Here is a 17,715-nt window from a genome sequence, read left to right as displayed (position 1 = left end):
CCTTTCCTTACCTCAAGCTTGTCTTGGGGTTTCTGCAGTCTGGTCAGGTAGTTGCTGTTTCTGTAGCTGAACAGATAGGGGCTCTCCTGCAGGGAAAGGTGACATGTTGGAATCGTGACCCTAGAAGTCTGTATCCCTTAATTATCAGGCTTCAGCATCCAGTGATGCTTTTGGCCAACTAGGAACATTCACATCACGCTTCCAGTGAGGACCAAACCATTCTCTGGCTCTTCTCTCTGGTCCCTGAAGGACTCATGAATGCGTTGACATTTCCCATTTGTGATAGCCAGTCTCTCTTGCTCTTTACCCTGGGGGTTCATGCTACCAGGCTAAGTATATATATTTTGATGAGAAGGGAATCTAATTTTAAGCTTCTTGGCAGCCAAAGCAAAAAGTGCAAGAAGGTGAATTGTATACTTATTATTGCATAGTAACAAAAAACTTACCAATTCATCAAGAAAGCCAAATACTTGACTAGCATTAAATGATAGAAAGACTAAAAATACAAAAAAATTAGCTGGGTGTGGTGGCACGTGCCTGTAGTCCCAGCCACTTGGGAGGCTGAGGCAGGAGAATCGCTTGAACCCGGGAGGCAGAGGTTGCAGTGAGCCAAGATTGTGCCACTGCACTCCAGCCTGGCAACAGGGCGAGACTCCGTCTCAAAAAAAAAAAAAAAAAAAAAAGAAAGAATCTCATTCATTTATGTCCAGTTATTTTCTCATCCACTTATTTGGAAACATTAATTATAAGCCTACTACATACTAGGCACATATTTAAGATGTAGTCAAAATGATCCACTTTTCAGGTACTTAGATACTCACCATCCCTCCCTTCTTTGCCACTCTGAGGTAGAGGAAGGTCTGGAAATGGCATCTGGGGCAGAGGGCCAGGACCCAGAGGCAGCATTTGGGGCCAGGTGAGCTGTGGCCTTGTTCCTATGCCTTCCACAGGCATGGAGGGGGCTGCAGTTTTGCTAGAACAGCTCTCATGGCCCACAACTGTAAACATTAGGGCTGCTATGTATGCAAAACTGTGTGCAGGCCCAGAAGAACAGAAACAGGATTCACATCTCAGGTAAGACCCACTTCACAGCAAAGCCCACTTGGCCACCCCACCTGCGCCCTCGATTCAATAAGAGTCCCTCCTCTGCCCAGTCCCTCCTACCTGAGAGGGACACTTCATTGGCCTCCCGTGTTTTACACTCAATGGCTCATCTTTCTCTCCTGCTGGCTCCATCTAGAAAGGAACGTGGGCTTTAGAACAGGGAAGTTTTGTGCAGGTAGCAGCCTGCCAAGTCACCAGTGAGAAAGACTCATTAGTCCAGCAGCAGTACCAGGGAACGCATTAGAAATGCACGTGTCCAGCCCCCATCCCCAAACTACTGAGTCTGAGACTCTGGGGCTGGGGCAGCAGTCTGTGTTGTAAGCAGCTCTCCAGGCGATTCTGATGCACACCCGAGTTTGAGAACCACAGCATGAGAAGCAGCATCGGTTTTATATATATATATATAGAAGGGACTTCCTAGTCTACCTCTCCTAGAAGGAAAAGCTGCACAGCAGAGGTTGAGGTGGGGCCCAGCCAGCCAGGACAGAGCTGGGACTCCAACATTGGTGTCCTGCATCCAACCAAACATCTAGCAATGGGTCACACAGCTTTCTGATCACGTGGGGGCCGGTTATCCAGCTTGGCTTCTTGTCCCCTCCTTGCTGCCCAGCTACTTTCTGGCTCACTGATTCAAGTTCCCTTAGACAGGAGAGCCAGTATGGGAAGGAAGGGCAAATGCATCGCTTTTTACATAAAGCATGTATTCTTTCCCAAGTCCTCCCCGCAGCCTGTGTCCACAACCCAAATGTAGGTAAATCTGCGCACAATAGAGAATGGAAACCCTCTGTTCCCTGAGAACTGCTTTCACAGCTTTGAGTGAAGCAAGTTATGGGGCCTGGGTCAAGTCTCATGTCTTTCACGGGGTCACAAATACAGTGACATGGAACACAGCACAGCCAACACTCACAAACCGCTAGAGTATCTAGTGAGCCAGGAGTGGGTGGTGTGGTATCCGCTGTGAAATAGGCAGCTACTTAAATGACAACCACGAAGGCCATCAAATGACATCTAATAACGTAGATAAAACATTTATAGTATAACAGCAGGAGAAACCAGCAGATTATCAACTTAGTAAAGCATTAGACATAGGGAAGTGAAGGCCGTTAAAGAATTAGAGGGAAGGAGGGATTTTTTTTAAAAGTTGTTTTTGTTATTTTTAAATGTTCATTATACATATATAAACACTTACAAAGAAAAATGCAATAGCTTGGAGGGATTGCAGATTTTCTTCTGCACGGGCTATTTCCTACTGTTGGAGAACCAGTTTTACTGTCATCTGGCTGCCCACAGGTGCTGGGCTCTGGTCGTACCTCTGGCCCTCACCTCCCCTTCCAATGACTCTGCCAAGGAACGTGGGAAGCTACTGGATGGGGCAGCCTGTCTGGCTCAGTCACAGCTTCTACCAACCTCCATGAGGATTTTCAGATTCCTCAGCGGTATCTTACCCCAGCATCTGTGCCCCAATAAGCAAGAAACAAGAAAAGAACTTTACCCTTAGTGGAATTGGCTCTTCAGCCAGACTGAAAGAGAATCAGATAAGGAGGTATAATTAGCTGAACATTTGGAAAAGGAGTGGCAACTCTCTAGCTCAAGGCCTAGGAGAGGAAATGGACTCCACGCTTCTTTCTGTTTTATTCTGATGGTGGCCGCTCCTAGAAACAAGGTCCCACCTGGAACATTCAAGGCGGCTGTCAAAGGAAGTATTGAGCAGGCCTGGGTGAGGGCCAGGTGCTGATCTGTCTTGCCACCTTCTCTTCCCCAATTTTTTTTTTTTCTTTTTTTTTTTTTTGGAGACAGGGTCTCATTCTCATTGCTCAGATTGGAGTGCAGTGGTGCGATCACAGTTCATTGCAGCCTTGACTTCCTGAGCTCCGGTGATTCTCCCACCTCAGCTTCCCGAGTAGCTGGGACTATAGGTGTGTGACACCATACCCAGCTAATTTCTTGTATTGTAGTAGAGGCAGGGTTTTTGCCATGTTGCCCAGGCTGTTCTCAAATTCCTGGCCTTAAGCATTCCTCCTGCCTCGGACTCCCAAAGTGCTGGGATTACAAGCATGAGCCACCACGCCCACCTTTCCCCAACCTTTCAAGAATTTAATCCATAATGGAATCTGGAAAGAAACCTTGAAAGAGCCATATCTAAATGACTCTGACAAAGTGGATAAAGCAGAGTCTATTTTTTTTTAAAGGGCCTCAAAGAAGGAAAATTCATAGATTTTCCCAAGAAACCCATTTCCGTTGAGAACTTTGTCCTAAATGTCCCTTTAGGAGTCCCCTCCATCCTCCTTGCTTCCATTCATTCCCTTTACACTGGCTCTGACCCTTTCTTCTCCTGCATCCCCAATCCCCAGAAAGGATGGAAATGACACAGTTACTTCAAATAATTCCTCATGTGTGCCTCTTTCTCCTGCCACACTGTGGGTCCCATAAATGCACATGTGCTATTTACTCCAGGGACAACCGGGGCTGGTCTGGGCTTCCACCCCACTCTGCACATCTCCCCAGCACGGCTTCCTGCCACCGAGGAATGAACTGCAGTGTGGGAGGGGTGAGGGCAATGACCTTAAAAATCCTCTCCGAGCAGCAGAATCCTCCCTGGACTGTGAGCAATCCCCAAGTTCCTTATTCTGCCTGTGGCTTCGGCACCTGGTGTAGACTCGGCATAAGGTGGGGTCAGTGATTGCTGAGAGGGCCAGGGACATCAGTTCCCTAAAGGTGGGTCCCCTTCAAAACGACTGATGTACAAGAATTACCAGAAATTATTGCGGCAGCAGCAGAAAGGGCCTAGGGAATGAACCGTGTCCCAGACACAAAATCCTCCTCGGCTTGGCACCAGGAGTGCAAGCTTCAGCCTGGAGGCCTCACTCAGCCAGGACAGTTCCAGGCATGTTTAGATGGGGCTGCTGTCACCTCCCATGCTGATGGGTGGAGCTTTTCCTTTGCTGGTCCTCAATGCTCACCTATGCTAGGGCTTGGAGGATGAGGGAGGGAGGGAGGATGCTGACGTGGTCTGGGTATGTGGCTTTGTGGGCTGCAGAGCTGAGAGCTATCCTCCTTCCCTACAGCTGTGTCCGGGGGTGTCTGAGGACAGAGTAATGGACCTGGACTCCCTGTGATCATGGGGATTCTGCCAGTCCCTCTCTGCTCCCCACACAGAGGGCAGCCCTCACCTGGGCTCTGTGTGTCTGCGAGGGTAGACACAGAACAGGTACACCTGCCTTCCACCTCGATGTCCCAGTCCAGCCCAGCAAAGAATCACAGATGTGGTGGCAGAGACTCCCGCCCTCCCCGCACCTGGAGGATGCAATTAGCGAAACCAAGGGTAGGAAGGAGCCCAATGCCCTCCCATATTTTCACAAACCCTTGGGTGCTGGCTAAGGGTGCTTAGACCTTTTTGGCAGGTAGAGAAAATGGACACCCCGAAAGACCGTGTGACTTGCCTCAAGAAACCACCGAAAGTGGGACCGAAATCAGAGCCCGGGTTTTCTGGCTCCTGTCCAGTGCCCTTCGCCCTAACCTGTTATACCCGTCGCTTCTCATGGCTGAATTCGGGTCTGCAGGAGCTTCTGATGTGTTCCAGCAGCTGTGCTCGATCCGGGAACTGTGGGATGGTCTGGCATTTTGCTTGTGAGGAAACGAGGGACTGGGGATGCTTGGGGAACCCCCTCCTATCCTGTCTCTCCCTGCCCCCCATGTCCCTGCTGGCTGAGGCTGCAGGAAGCTTGGGGTTTGCACTGGCACTGGGAAACCGGACTTGTATGGGTGTGGAGAGAGTGAGGTCACTGCTTACCTAGGAAAGCCACATCCTCCTCCTCTTCTAAGCCCTTGTGACACTCTCTGTGTCGCAGGCCTTTGGCCTTGAGGGTGAGACCTTCCATTCCTGTGTACGTGCTCATTCTGACCCTCGAGTAGTTTTAAGAGACCGTACGTGGGGTGTACCTTATTTGTATGCATGGGACCATCACCTGGCAGCTCTGTAAAGGTGGTTATTATTGCTATTGCCACCAATATCAAGGACAAATAGCATGATGAAAGGAGAAAGGGATAGGAATCCAGCCCTCTCCCTGGACCTGCCCTCTCCAGCTTCTCTGTCTGGTGCTCAAGGGCTCCTTTCACGCTGGGAGCCTTATCTCCGTATCTCTTCTCTTATCAGACAGGCCTCTTCCTGCCCTTGCTGCTGCATCTGACGCATTCTTCTCTCCATGCCCTTTGCTCACAAAGGTCCCTTTGCCTGGGAACGCCCTCCGTGACCTCCTCCAACACATTTCACAAAGCCCATTCAAATCCCCTCTTCATGGGCTCTCCCGGCCTCATTGTTCACATTGCTTCTTGGTGCGTGGCCCAGCACAACACTGCTGGCTGAGTCCCTTTTGACTCTCGTTCCTCTGGGCTGTCTGGCCCTTCCCAGCTACACCTGAAGCCTGGTGAGAACAGAAGCCACATTTGGTGGGTCTCTTGTATCCCCCTTGGAACCATGGAGGGTACAAGGGCAGGGTACAAGGTGGTATGGTGGTACCTTCAAGGGCAAGCCATGTCACAGGTGTCCTTTTGTTGGTTGGGAGAAAGATGGCAGGAGAGGAGAGGTTTGGCTGAGCTGGAATCATCAGCCCTCCTCTCCCTGAGAGAGGGCTTGGGAGAGCAGTCCCTGCTGGAGGGGCCAGGTTCCTCTTCTCTGCCCATCATGGGAGATCAGCAGCAAAGTGGATTTCTGGGGACATAGTCCCCGCAAGTGCCAGGCACACTGAGAGACGTCCCTGTTCAGAGAACTCAAATGCCTTCTTCAAAGGACAGACAGTAGGTTTCCAGTGCCAGGGACTGTCGGAGGCCGTGCCCCTTCCCTCCCTACACTCTGTTTCACACTGGCTCATGTGTGCTGAAATGCAGCTGTCCCTGGTACTCAACACAGTATGTCAGTTGTGGAGACGGATCCACAAAAGAAGAAAAATGAATTTCTGTCACTAGAATTCTAAAAATAAGGCAGCTTGGGTGGGAAGAAAATAAATGGCAAATTCAGGTCTCTGTCTGACGCCCTGAAAAGGTTCAAAGCCTCGACGTCGACGCCACATTCCATCCCCTGACTAATCCCAGATATCCCTGGGGGCCCTTTGGAATCTGGGGATATCCTGTTACAGTTACAGTAAAAAGGCCAATCCACGTGGAGTGCTTACTACAGGCCAGGAGCGAGCTGCGCGCTAGATATGTTGGGCCAGGGGCTGACCTGGATTTTGCAGAAAGAGCATTGAGACCTGAGTTCACAGAGCTTGTGAGTGGTGGGCTTAGCATTCCAACCCAGGCCTTCATCACGCTGCAGCCCACGCTTGTTCCAGGCACCACCTTGGGCCTTGACAACCGCACAACACCGCCTAAGTGTGAGGGCAGGCTGGACAGGAATGGTGAGGGGAGCACATTCCCCAGTGCTTGACTCAAGCAGGTCTTCCACACAGACTCTGAGAAACGGCCCCACCTCTGGGAAACCAGGGCTGAGGCTCCTGTGAGACCTTTGCTGCTCACTGGCCTGGCTGCAGCGCAGAACCTGTGGCGAGGCAAAGTCTCAGGCAGTCAGAGAGGGGCGTCACCGGGAGACAGAAGCATCCCTGGTGGCCCAGAACCATTGTCCTGGGATCCTGGGGCGCCCTGCAGCCCCTCCTCAGCACGGTGGGCTCAGTGGTGGTGGAGACCTTGCCCCTCCTCTGTGGGCCCCACCCCAGGCCCCATCTACTCACCATCCTATTCCAGAGATGCCAGGCCAGCGTGGTAGAATCCTGGAGTCGGGGGTCCTCCTAAAAGAGAACCAGTTGACAGCGGGACCTTTTGTCTCCCCAGGAATGCAACGGACCTGCTACACACTTTGAAGCTCTCTCTGGCATAGAGTTGGGGCAGCCTGATCTGTCCAGGCCTTTTCTCTCAGCCCCTCATCAATAACAGGGGCACTTATGGGACCACCGTCTGGGGTCAGGGCCCTGAGGTCAGGGCCTGCAGGAGCAGGTGGCACGTCAGGCAGCTCCATGTCATCATGGGGTTCTCTGTCACTGAACTAAACAGTGGAAGGAGGGGGTGGCAGGGAATGATTCAGGTGTGATCTGAGTAGAAGGATGAAGGAAGGGAACGTGAGCTAATATTTCTCCTCACCCTCTTAAACCATCACTTTAAACACTGTTTGTGGTGTGGAGATGGCACAAGGATTCCAACAGGCAGGAGCCTGGAGGGAGGGACTGTTCCCAGACACGGGACTGAGGCTACGGAGACCTCGGTCAGCAAGTGTGGACCAAGTGCTACATGGTCTGGGTGGCCCCTTGCCCAGTGTCCTGGGGGAGCGGGCAAGGGCAACTGAGATTCCCCTCCCTTCCAGAGATGGATGGAGAGGAGCGTGCAGGGGGAGGGACAAGAGCTGGCATCCCTGGAGATTCTCTTCGGAATAACCACAATGGCCAAGAGGTGCGAGCACTTCCCCAGCACCGGATGCCACTCTACATCCCCCCAAGTATTAACTCATGTGGCCCTGATGGCCACCGAGAGAGAGAACATGTTACTAAATGGCCCTGATTTTACAGAACAGAGTTCAACACCTTGTCCAAGGTCACACAGCTGGTCACCCCAGAGCTAGGAGGGGAAGCTAGGCCATGCACCCTGGGCTGCCCTGCCTCTAACAGCACATTTCATGGGGGCTGTTCAACCCTGTGAGGAAATTGTACAGGAAAGTATAATATGGGGGTATTTCCCCTAAGACTATGCATCCTGGGTTCAGGAGAGCTGAACTGGGCTGAGGCTTATTGGGGTAAGGTGGAAGAGGGGGCAGGAACAGATGTATGGCCCAGGCCTCCTCCCCACCACACTCTTCACACTTTTTTTTTTTTTTTTTGAGACTGAGTCTCGTTCTACTGCCCAGGCTGGAGTGCAGTGGCAGGATCTCAGCTCACTGAAGCCTCTGCCTCCCAGGTTCAAGCGATTCTCATGCCTCAGCCTCCAGAGTAGCTGGGATTACAGGCGCCCACCATCATGCCTGGCTAATTTTTGTATTTTTAGTAGAGACAGGGTTTCACCATGTTGGCTGGGTTGGTCTTCAACTCCTGATCTCAAGTAATCCACCCACCTCGGCCTCCCAAAGTGCTGGGATTACAGGAGTGAGCCACCATGCCCGGCCCCCACCACACTCTTGATACGCCATGCAGCCCCCACTTACCGAGTGTAGAGATGGGGTGGTCTCATAGAAGAAAGGCTGGAAAACCACGGTGAAGGACTCCTGCTCACTGTACCTGCTGGAGGCCAGGAGGCTGTTCCAGGCTTCCTGGAGAAGGGAGCAGAGAGGTGCCCATCCAGGAACATGAGCGAGGCAGAGCCGGCCCCAGACCTGACCAAATCATTCTCGGCAGCCCTGGGACAGGATCTGCCTCTTGCGTTGTGGTCAAGTGCTATTCTGAAGCTCCCTCTTGTCTCACCCTTCAGGGCTCTTTGATAGCTAAGCTGAGTTTTCATTTGTCTCTGAAGTACCAGCATTAGGTAATACCACAGACAGACCTAAAATATATTCTCTGGAAGCTTAGGAACGACAAGACAGCCCAGCGTGTGGCAGGGCCCCCTGCTCTCTTCAAGAGCTAAGTTCAGTAGAGTCAGGTGCCTTAACCACTCAAAAAATGTTGTCATTTCCAGAGCGAGAGAGATACCATGCAACTTCAAATGCAATTTTCTTCATAAGCAAAAGTCATCATGTTAACACATGCTAACAGAAACCGTGCTTTGAGCTGTTTGCTAAGAGGGATGGTGGCTTTCATTGAGCCCTTCGCCCTTATTTATTTATTTATTTATTTAATTTATTTATTTTTGAGACGGAGTCTCGCTGTCTTGCCCAGGCTGGAGTGCAGTGGTGCGATCTCGGCTCACTGCAACCTCCACCTGCCAAGCTCAAACGACTTCTCCCGCCTCAGCCTCCTGAGTAGGTGGGACTGTAGGTGCATGCTACCATGCCTAGCTAATTTTTGTATTTTTAGTAGAGATGAGGTTTCACTATGTTGCCCAGACTGGTCTTGAACTCCTGACCTCAAGTGATCTGCCCACCTCAGCCTCCCAAAATACTGGGATTACAGGTGTGAGCCACCACGCCCAACCCCTTCACCCTCTCTTGGGGTCTCTTCTGTGAACTGCAATGTGCATCTTCAGGAGCCCTGGTTTGCCTTTGGGCTGTAAGCTAGGGACAGGCACACTGGGCAAAACCAGCTCACCCACCCCAGATGTGGTACAAGTGGCACTGATGACCAAAAGCATTCCAGAATGAATCTTCGAAGTTCCTCACTATCTTTTGCCTCAAGTACCCCCACTGTCCCCCAACTCGCACCCCTACCAGTCCTGCAGGCCCCATTTTATATGCAGGAATACTGAAATCACTACCACGATGTGAAGCAAGAGTAGCTCTCTTTGCTCCTGACTTAGTCCTGAATTCAGCTGGAGAAGTCCTAACATTAGCAAACTCAACTAATTGTCCCTATCACTCCTGTTCTCCTTGGCGACCACGCCACCCCGGTGAGCCAGCAGCTTGGGATCCCAGGTTGGGCTCACCTGATAAGACCACTGCATCACCACCTTGGCCAGCCGGGTGGTCTCCTCTGAGCAATTACAGGGCTCTGGTGCAGGGCTGCAGGTTAAAACACACCAGGAATGAGAGAGGGGAGGCAGTGTGGGCAGGGAAGGGGATGCATCCAGCCCGCCTCTTATGGAAGAAGGGGCATAGGAGTTGCTTAAGGAGTAGGGATGAAGAAGCATAAGTCTTAGAGGACATAAATGTTGAGAAGAATAGAGGGTGGGTGGTCCCTTCTTGGGGGTTGGGTATGGGATGGAGGGAAGCTGTTCCTGGGGGGTGGGTATTGGATGGAGGGACGTTCTTCCTAGGGGGTCGATATGGGATGGAGGGAAGCTCTCCCTAGGGGGTGGGTATGGGTTAGGGGGTAGGTATGGGATGGAGGGAAGCTCTCCCTGGGGGGTAGGTATGGGATGGAGGGAAGCTCTCCCTGGGGGGTGGGTATGGGATGGAGGGAAGCTCTCCCTGGAGGGTGGCTATGGGATAGAGGGAAGCTTTTCCTGGGGGGTAGATATGGAATGGAGGAAAGCTCTTCCTAGGGGGTGACTATGGGATAGAGGGAAGCTCTTTCTCCCCCTTCATCTCTCAGTCCTCCTCCTCCCCGCTCACTGTTCTTCACACCAGACACCCACATCCCATTCCCCTTTCCCTCCCCTGTACCTTCTCTGTCTTGCATCCTCTTCAGAGCCCTCCTTCCCCAGCACCCCACTTCTCTCCTTTCCAGCACTCTCTTTTCTCCACCGCCCTTGCCCTGACTTTTTCCACATGAACTTCTTTTCTAGGTCCAGAGCCAGAATTCTTAGGATTTGGCTCCAAAAAGTTTAAAGTCTATGAACATTTTCAGAAATATATAGGAATCAAGTTCTGTGAAGTTAAACTACATTTAGGCTACGTTTTTCTATCCAATTTCCAGAAGTAACACTTCTTAGCTTATGGATGTTTTGCCAAGGCGAACTCTGAAATCACTCTGGCACTGAGGAGAGCCTCTGGCACAACATCAACCAGAATAAAAGAATAAAGTATTTTATTCTTTGACTCAGTCCCCAAAACAATGCTTGGCAGAGGGCCCACCCCACCCCGACTCTGCCACTCGCTCGGGTGTGAGCTCGCATGTGTTTCTCGGCCTCCTTTGGCCTCTGTTCTTTAGGGCTCCCTCATAGATTACGGCACATGAAGGGCCCCCACAGGCCGCACACGTGACAGCCGTGTCACAGATGCGTGTCTCATTCCACTTCCCCTTTTACCTGAGCCAAGTGCCGTGATACTGACGAGAGACCTCTGCAACCTCAGAGAGGTCCACCAGGTTTACAAATGCTCTGGGGACCTAGGAGGACACACAGAGAGGGAGGTGAGTATTTGCCAAGTCGCCATGGCTGCCGGGCTTTCTGGAACTCCTGCTTGGGCCCCGTTGGGGTGTGGTTGAGTGTGATGGGCCTCCCCTTGGTTAACTGGGCCTGATCCTTTGGGAGATGTTTGGTCAGGGTCAGTCTGCGCTGCCAGCCCTGCATCTGTGCCATCCAGAAACAGGACTCTCTGTCCCTCACGGTGGGCGGGGCGCCTCCCACCAGTGTCCACAGGGGAGGGAGACCACTGGGGCTATGGGCCTGCAGCCTCCTCCAGCAGAAAGCTGCCCTCCAGGGGAGCAAAGCGGAAGGCAGGGCCACAGCAACCCCCAGCTGATTCTCAGACCCTGCAGCAGCATCACGGTCACTGAGCAGAAAGGTCTTGAAGGTCCTCAGGCCCCCTCCATCTTATCCTCGCCCCAGTCTCAGGTAGAGAGAGGCCTTAGGGAAGAGCAGGGCCACCGAGGACTCAAGGAAGAGCCGAGTTTCTCTCAGAAGTTTCCTTTGCAGGAGTGGAGTGTGCTCTCCTGGCCCATGTTCTCATTTGAAAGGATGAGAAGATGGGGTGCTCTAAAGTTTCCCCTTTCCCGAGGGTCCCAGTCTCCCTCACAGGGGTCCATTTCCCCACCCCGGTGGAGGCCACATGAGGGTAAATGGGCCCCACTGCCCTTGGGGAAGCCCTAGGCCCGTGGCCTCACCTCCTGCTGCAGGTAGTCCAGCACCCCCATCAGCTCATCCACGCCGCCCGCCGCAAGCCCATTCTGTGAGAGGAGAACCGTGCTAAGTGAGGGTGCCTGCAGGAGGACCACGAGGTGAGGCCACCCAGACTCACAACAGGCCCATCCCTGCCAGGCAAGACCACAGGCAAAGGCACCATCTAGACCTGGCATTCCACAAAGGAGGACAGAATTCCCAGAGCTTCCTAGTTTTGTCTTCATTTTGTTCTTCTATTTTCTCCCCAACCCATCATCCACCTGGGAAAAACCAAACTCCCCACAGGTGAAAAGTTCCATCAGGAAAGGGCAAACTCAAAGTCAGAGCAAGATCAGAAATACCTGGTGTGATTCTGAAGCTCACACTGAGGGACAGGAGACTTACTCCCAAAGACTTGAGGAATCGCTTTTTCCCAAAGAAAATCAGGTCCAACAGGGAAATACAATTAACCCTGTATTTAAGGCCCCAGATGGGCCTCGGAACCTTCATGTGATCCTATTTTATTAGCTTTTCTCTTGCTGTGTTTGCCCTAAGATAAGCATTCCTAGAGAAAGAGTATGAGTGGGTCCTGCCACCTGAGTATTTAAAGACATCTCCCACGCACCCAACACACACACCACTCCCCTTCCTGCAGGTCATGAAAATCAACAAATGAAGGACCTCAAAAACGGACCCTGCTTTACCTTTTTTTTTTTTTTTTTTTTTTTGAGATGGAGTCTCGCTCTTTTGCCCAGGTTGGAGTGCAGTGGTGTGATCTCGGCTCAGTGCAACCTCCACCTCCTGAGTAGCTGGGATTACAGGCGCCCGCCACCATGCCCAGCTAATTTTTGTATTTTTAGTAGAGACAGGGTTTCACCATGTTGGCCAGGCTGGTCTCAAACTCCTGACCTCAAATGATCCACCTACCTCGGCCTCCCAAAGTGCTGGATTACAGGCTGGGTGCAGTGGCTCATGCCTGCTTTACCTTTTCAATGTGAAAAATAATAAAAATTACAAGACAAACTTCTAAGTTTGTCCCCTAACAAACAGCAGACTGGCTGTCCCCTAAGGCAACTTGGCTCAGACAGGAAGACAAGGAAGGCCAAGGAGCTGTTCTGTTTCCCGGAGGGGACACAGGCAGTGACTCTGGAGACAGCTGTCAATCACCTGGGCTGGCACCACACAGGAGGAAATGCAGTGTCCCTGTTTCTCTGCCCCTTCACCGGCTGTCCCTGCTTTGGTGTGAGGCTGGCTTCTGGGAGGCCGGGTCAGCCAGGTCTGTTACCGTAAAGCCTTCTGTCTAGTTTTCTCCTAAGTGAGCTGCTCCCTGACCGTGACATCAAACATCACCCTCTCTTTCCTGAAGAGCCCAGGGGAACTCTGTCTAGAGGCATCCTCGCTGCCCATCTGAACCATACCCACCGTCCCTGGAGAGGCGGGGGACCCTGTGTGGCTCTCTCTAGAGTGTGAATCTTGCTGTAGAAACCCCTGGTCAAGGTGTTTACTTGCAGCTGCAGAGGGAATTGGGGCCCACCCAGTCATTCCAGGCACTGCATGGTTGTCGCTCGGGACACCAACTGTCCCCATTTCTCAGTAAAAGACATTATGCTCCTATAAGATGTCCCTCCTCTATAAGGTCATACATAATAAACTCCTAGAACCCAAAGTCAGGAAAAAGCTGATTTCTTCAAATGAACTTGTACATTTCCATGTGTATCGTTTGCCCCCTGGTTTGGAAGAATGTCTATTATCAAACACGTGCCTGAGACCCAACTTAACTCTTTCTAATAAATTATTTTATTGGGATTTAAACCAAGGAATGGGATATTATTCAGTCAAAAACTAGAAACACGTTTAGGTTTCTTGAATCACACACCAGTGTACCCTCCAAAAGGCTGCCACCTGTAGCTAGAGACGTTTACAAGGGATAAATGTGTCTGTTTTCTTGTAATCAGCTCTTTTTTTCATTTTTTCTTCTGATTTTTAAAATCTTACTAATTAATAAAGCCAAATTTAACTAGAGAGCAGTAAGCAAGTGTCCAGATCCAAAAAGCATCCTCAGGTCACTGCTGTGAGCCAGCTCATCATTTACCTCCAAAGCACCTGCCTTCAGAGTCATTGTCACACCTAATGGATAGTTGCTGACTTGACTCTCTGACTTTGGTCATAAGAAACTCCTAAAGAACAACTGTGGACACAGGCCCTTGTTTATTTCCCATTAAATGAGCCCAAAGGTCTCCACAGGGGAAGAGAATTCAGGTCCTAAGTTGGGGCAGGACAGTAGCTCAACATTTCCTCTTAAGGGTAAAACATGTTTTTCTCGTGTGAACTTTTAGGAAACCCTTGACACCTGCTCTGTAAAGTCAGGTGGCAGCTGGTGCCCACCTTCTCAACATATGCCCACAGAGGGATCTCCAGTGGCCCCTGGGTCTCTACAGAGCATTTGTTTTGTTTTGTTTTGTTTTTAAAGACAGAGTCTCACTCTGTTGCTCAGGCTAGAGTGCAGTGGCATGATCTCAGCTCACTGCAGCCTCCACTTCCTGGGTTTAGTGATTCTGTTGCCTCAGCCTCCCGAGTAGCTAGGACTACAGGCATGCACCACCACACCCAGCTAATTTTTGTATTTTTGGTAGAGACAGGGTTTCACCACATTGGCCAGGCTGGTCTTGAACTCCTAACCTCAAGTGATCCACCTGCCTTGGCCTCCCAAAGTTCTGAGATTACAAGCATGAGCCACCATGCCCGGCCATCTACAGAGCACATTTTTACAACCACCGAGGGAGAGCTTATACCTGAGATGTGCTTTCAGAAAAATAAAAATGCCACGTAAGAACTTCTCAAACAAGGATGCTGAGCTACACCACAGGATTAGCTTAAACGGGGAGGTGTGGCCAGAGGTACCACTAGGAGGTGAGTGTGGGTCTGGGCTGTGAGAAGGGCAACACCAGCAGGCCTGGCCAGGAGGCCAAAGGAGCCAGGCCTAGGAGCCACAGGGCCTCTGGGGTAAGTGGAAGTGGAGGTGAGATTTATTCCAGGCATCAAAGCCTTGGTGGTTTTTGTGCAATAGGAAAAATCAAGATGGAAGAAGAAATAGAATAAAGAGGGAATTTGAGTGGAAGCTAGCTGGTGTTGCTGTAATTAGCTAAATTTATGGACATCATGTTATTGGTTTACAGCTGTTTAAAAATGAGGAGGCATGATTACTTTTGTCATATGTTTTGAACCAATTAAAAGTGTGAGCTTCTAAGTGTGAATAAACTCAATTCATATGTCATCAACATGACTAGATCTTGCAGGAATTTCTCATGTTGACAAAAATCATTAAGTCTGAGAACAAGTGTTGGGAAGGTTGTAGAGAATAGGTGCTCACTGCCACTGGTGGAAATATGAGAGTTCAGCCACTTTGGAGGGCAATTAGGAGGCAGAGCCTATTAAAACCCAAAATGTGCGCACCTAAAGACTGGTATAAGAATCTACTCCAGGCGCTTTTCTTGAGACTGTTTTTTTCTTTTCTTTTTTTTTTATTTTCTTTTGAGACAGAGTCTCTCTCTGTCACCCAGGCTGGAGTGCAGTAGTGCGATCTTGGCTCACTGCAACCTCTGTCTCCTGGGTTCAAGTGATTCTCCTGCCTCAGCCTCCCGAGTAGCTGGGACTACAGGTGCCTGCCACCAAGCCCGGCTAATTTTTGTATTTTTAGTACAGATGGGGTTTCACCATATTGGCCAGGCTGGTCTCAAACTCCTAACCTTGTGATCCACCTGCCTCGGCCTCCTAAAGTGCTGGGATTACAGGCGTGAGCCACCGCGCCCAGCTCTTGAGGCTGTTTTTATCTTGACCCACAGTGTGAGATGTGTTTCACGTCCCAATCCAGTACAAGTATCCATATAGAAATGATGCAAAAATCTCATGAACCAATACTTACCTTACTACATGCAATGAACTCGAGGATTTTAGAGTTTATTCTATTCTATTTTTTTTACAATGTTGGTTGCAATCCTTTAAATTGATTTTTTGACTCACTAATGTACTTCAGTCCACAATTTGAAAATCACTGTATCTAGGAAAACTCTTCCACATAGTCAAGTAAATGAGCAAGACTGTTCATTGTAGCATTGTTTATAATAGTGAAAAACTAGAAATACCTACATGGCCATCAGTATAGGAAAATGGTGAAATAAAATGTAGTAAATTTACACAGCAAAATACTCATGGAAGAGAAATAAACTCATTCCATATATGTCAACATGACTAGATCTCAACAATACTTGGTTAGTGAAAAAAACTGTTCAGTAGTACATACAATATAACACTATATTAAATCTCTCTCATACATACAAGCACACAAAATAAGGCTTGGATTTATAGATATGTAAGAGGTTTGCAAAGAAAAAGAGACAGAGGATTAGGGAGGTGGCCAAAAGGATACATATTTTAGCTTTAACTGATGTTTTAGTTTTTAGAAGGAAAATATTTGTGTATTGCTTGCATAACTAAAAATACAAATAACATGTAGTTGAATACATGTGCACAAGAATACAACATGTATTCAAGAATGTTTGAAGGCATAAATACATGAAAGCATGCAAGAATTTATGTAGGAATGTTTAAACACAAGATGAAGTATATGGAAAAATCATTGATGAGTCTAAGTATTCATAAATGCATTCATACATTTTAAAAAATCATATGCTATCATGAACAAACTGATCACAAATACAATAGCATATGTCTGCATGTAAGATGAGAAAATGAATTTATACATGAATATAACTTATGGATGAATGATTCTATTAGTGAATACATAGAAGAATGCAGCAATATCTAAATGCTTGAACACTTCAGTGCGTGACTGCATAAATGCATGAGTTAATGTCATGGATTAATGAGTACAGAGAGCAATGCACCAATGTCTAAATGCTTGAGCATGTCAATGCATGAATGCATACATTCATGAAGTAATGCATAATGACCAAAAAGGGGGGCTGTGGAGAGAACAAATGAGGCACGTAAATTTCACTCGGCACTGGAGAAAACAGAGGGTAAACTGGAACAATAAATCTTCATTATCTATATGCTAAAAACCCAGGAAGGCTACAGGAATATTGGCCAATGAGAGCTAGTCAGGAAGGTGGATTTCCATCAATGTTCTTCCAAGGCTTGACATCACTAAAGGAAGGGGAGTTCTGACGGTGAGCCTGGAGTCAGTGGGAGTGTGGCGCACTTGAAGGAAGGCAAGAGTATCTACTGTAGGAGAGGGGCACAGAAAAGAAACCACCACCTCCAGAAGCTCCACCATGCCTGTGCCCTGGCCTGGAGGGTGGCGAAGAGGACAAGCTGGTCCCACAAGTGGCAGGGACAGTGTGGCAGCAGCCAGTCTTCAGGATCCTGAAGAAGAGTCCAGGTGCCATTTATTTCACCATGGCTTAGATTTCTAAACCACCCCTTACACTTTCAACTGATCCTAATCTGAATGATCTTCAATAAAGACTTAAGTCATAGATATTCACCTACATAAATAATAAACGAGACCACACGCTTCATGTCCTGTTTCCAGAAAAGCCAAAGCACTTGGAAGATACAGTCTACTTCAATAAAACAGCAGCTTTCCCACCACAAATAGAATTCATGGGCCAAGGGGTGAGGATGGTATGCACCCTGCTTTATTTCCTAAATTCAGAACTTACATGAAATCAGAATTAAGACGCAAGATAGTTTTTAACCAACTAGGACGCTAATTTTCTCAGTTGCGGAATGACTGTTGACTCAGCTTATCTATGCCTCTATTTCCTTTTCCTGATATGAGGGATGGTAAGTAAAAAACACCTGTTCCTTGTGACAGTTATGAATGCATGTCATATGTACAACATTATGAATTATCTAATGTCACTGAACTGTACACTTAAAATGATTAAGATGGTCAACTTTATGTGTATTTTATCACAATAAAAAAATTGAAGCAATAAAACCCACAGAACGCCTGTTCAAGCGTACGTTTCTTTGAGTATG

General features: G+C 49.1%; 1 protein-coding gene across 2 annotated transcripts in view, besides 2 other annotated features; it reads right to left on the bottom strand.

Moving 5' to 3' along the window:
- PLB1 (phospholipase B1) overlaps positions 1–17,715 on the bottom strand; it is a 148,083-nt gene that overhangs the window by 94,047 nt on the left and 36,321 nt on the right. Inside the window, exons 10-16 of one of the 2 annotated variants that reach the window (NM_001170585.2) lie at positions 11,715–11,810; positions 10,918–10,997; positions 9,655–9,730; positions 8,285–8,389; positions 6,828–6,884; positions 1,165–1,236; positions 12–86 (exon numbers count right to left, since the gene is read on the bottom strand). In NM_001170585.2, the coding sequence (NP_001164056.1) occupies positions 12–86; positions 1,165–1,236; positions 6,828–6,884; positions 8,285–8,389; positions 9,655–9,730; positions 10,918–10,997; positions 11,715–11,810 (561 nt within the window). The remainder of the gene's footprint in view (positions 1–11; positions 87–1,164; positions 1,237–6,827; positions 6,885–8,284; positions 8,390–9,654; positions 9,731–10,917; positions 10,998–11,714; positions 11,811–17,715) is intronic. The other variant, NM_153021.5, reaches the window with a different exon arrangement.
- Positions 4,055–4,554: an enhancer, noted in NCBI's record as "H3K4me1 hESC enhancer chr2:28768409-28768908 (GRCh37/hg19 assembly coordinates)". NCBI's record gives its function as "activates a minimal SCP1, AML or CMV promoter by ChIP-STARR-seq in naive H9 embryonic stem cells {active_cell/tissue: H9 hESC(naive)}" and the evidence as "EXISTENCE:reporter gene assay evidence [ECO:0000049][PMID:30033119]".
- Positions 10,580–10,874: a silencer, noted in NCBI's record as "tiled region #15095; HepG2 Repressive non-DNase unmatched - State 21:Repr, and K562 Repressive non-DNase unmatched - State 22:ReprW". NCBI's record gives its function as "represses a minimal TATA promoter and a strong SV40 promoter by Sharpr-MPRA in HepG2 and K562 cells {active_cell/tissue: HepG2 | K562}" and the evidence as "EXISTENCE:reporter gene assay evidence [ECO:0000049][PMID:27701403]".

Source organism: Homo sapiens, chromosome 2 (genome assembly GCF_000001405.40).
Source record: "Homo sapiens chromosome 2, GRCh38.p14 Primary Assembly".
NCBI classification, from domain to species: domain Eukaryota; kingdom Metazoa; phylum Chordata; class Mammalia; order Primates; family Hominidae; genus Homo; species Homo sapiens.
Note: the sequence above shows the minus strand (reverse complement) of the source record. Positions and strands in the feature narration are given on the sequence as shown.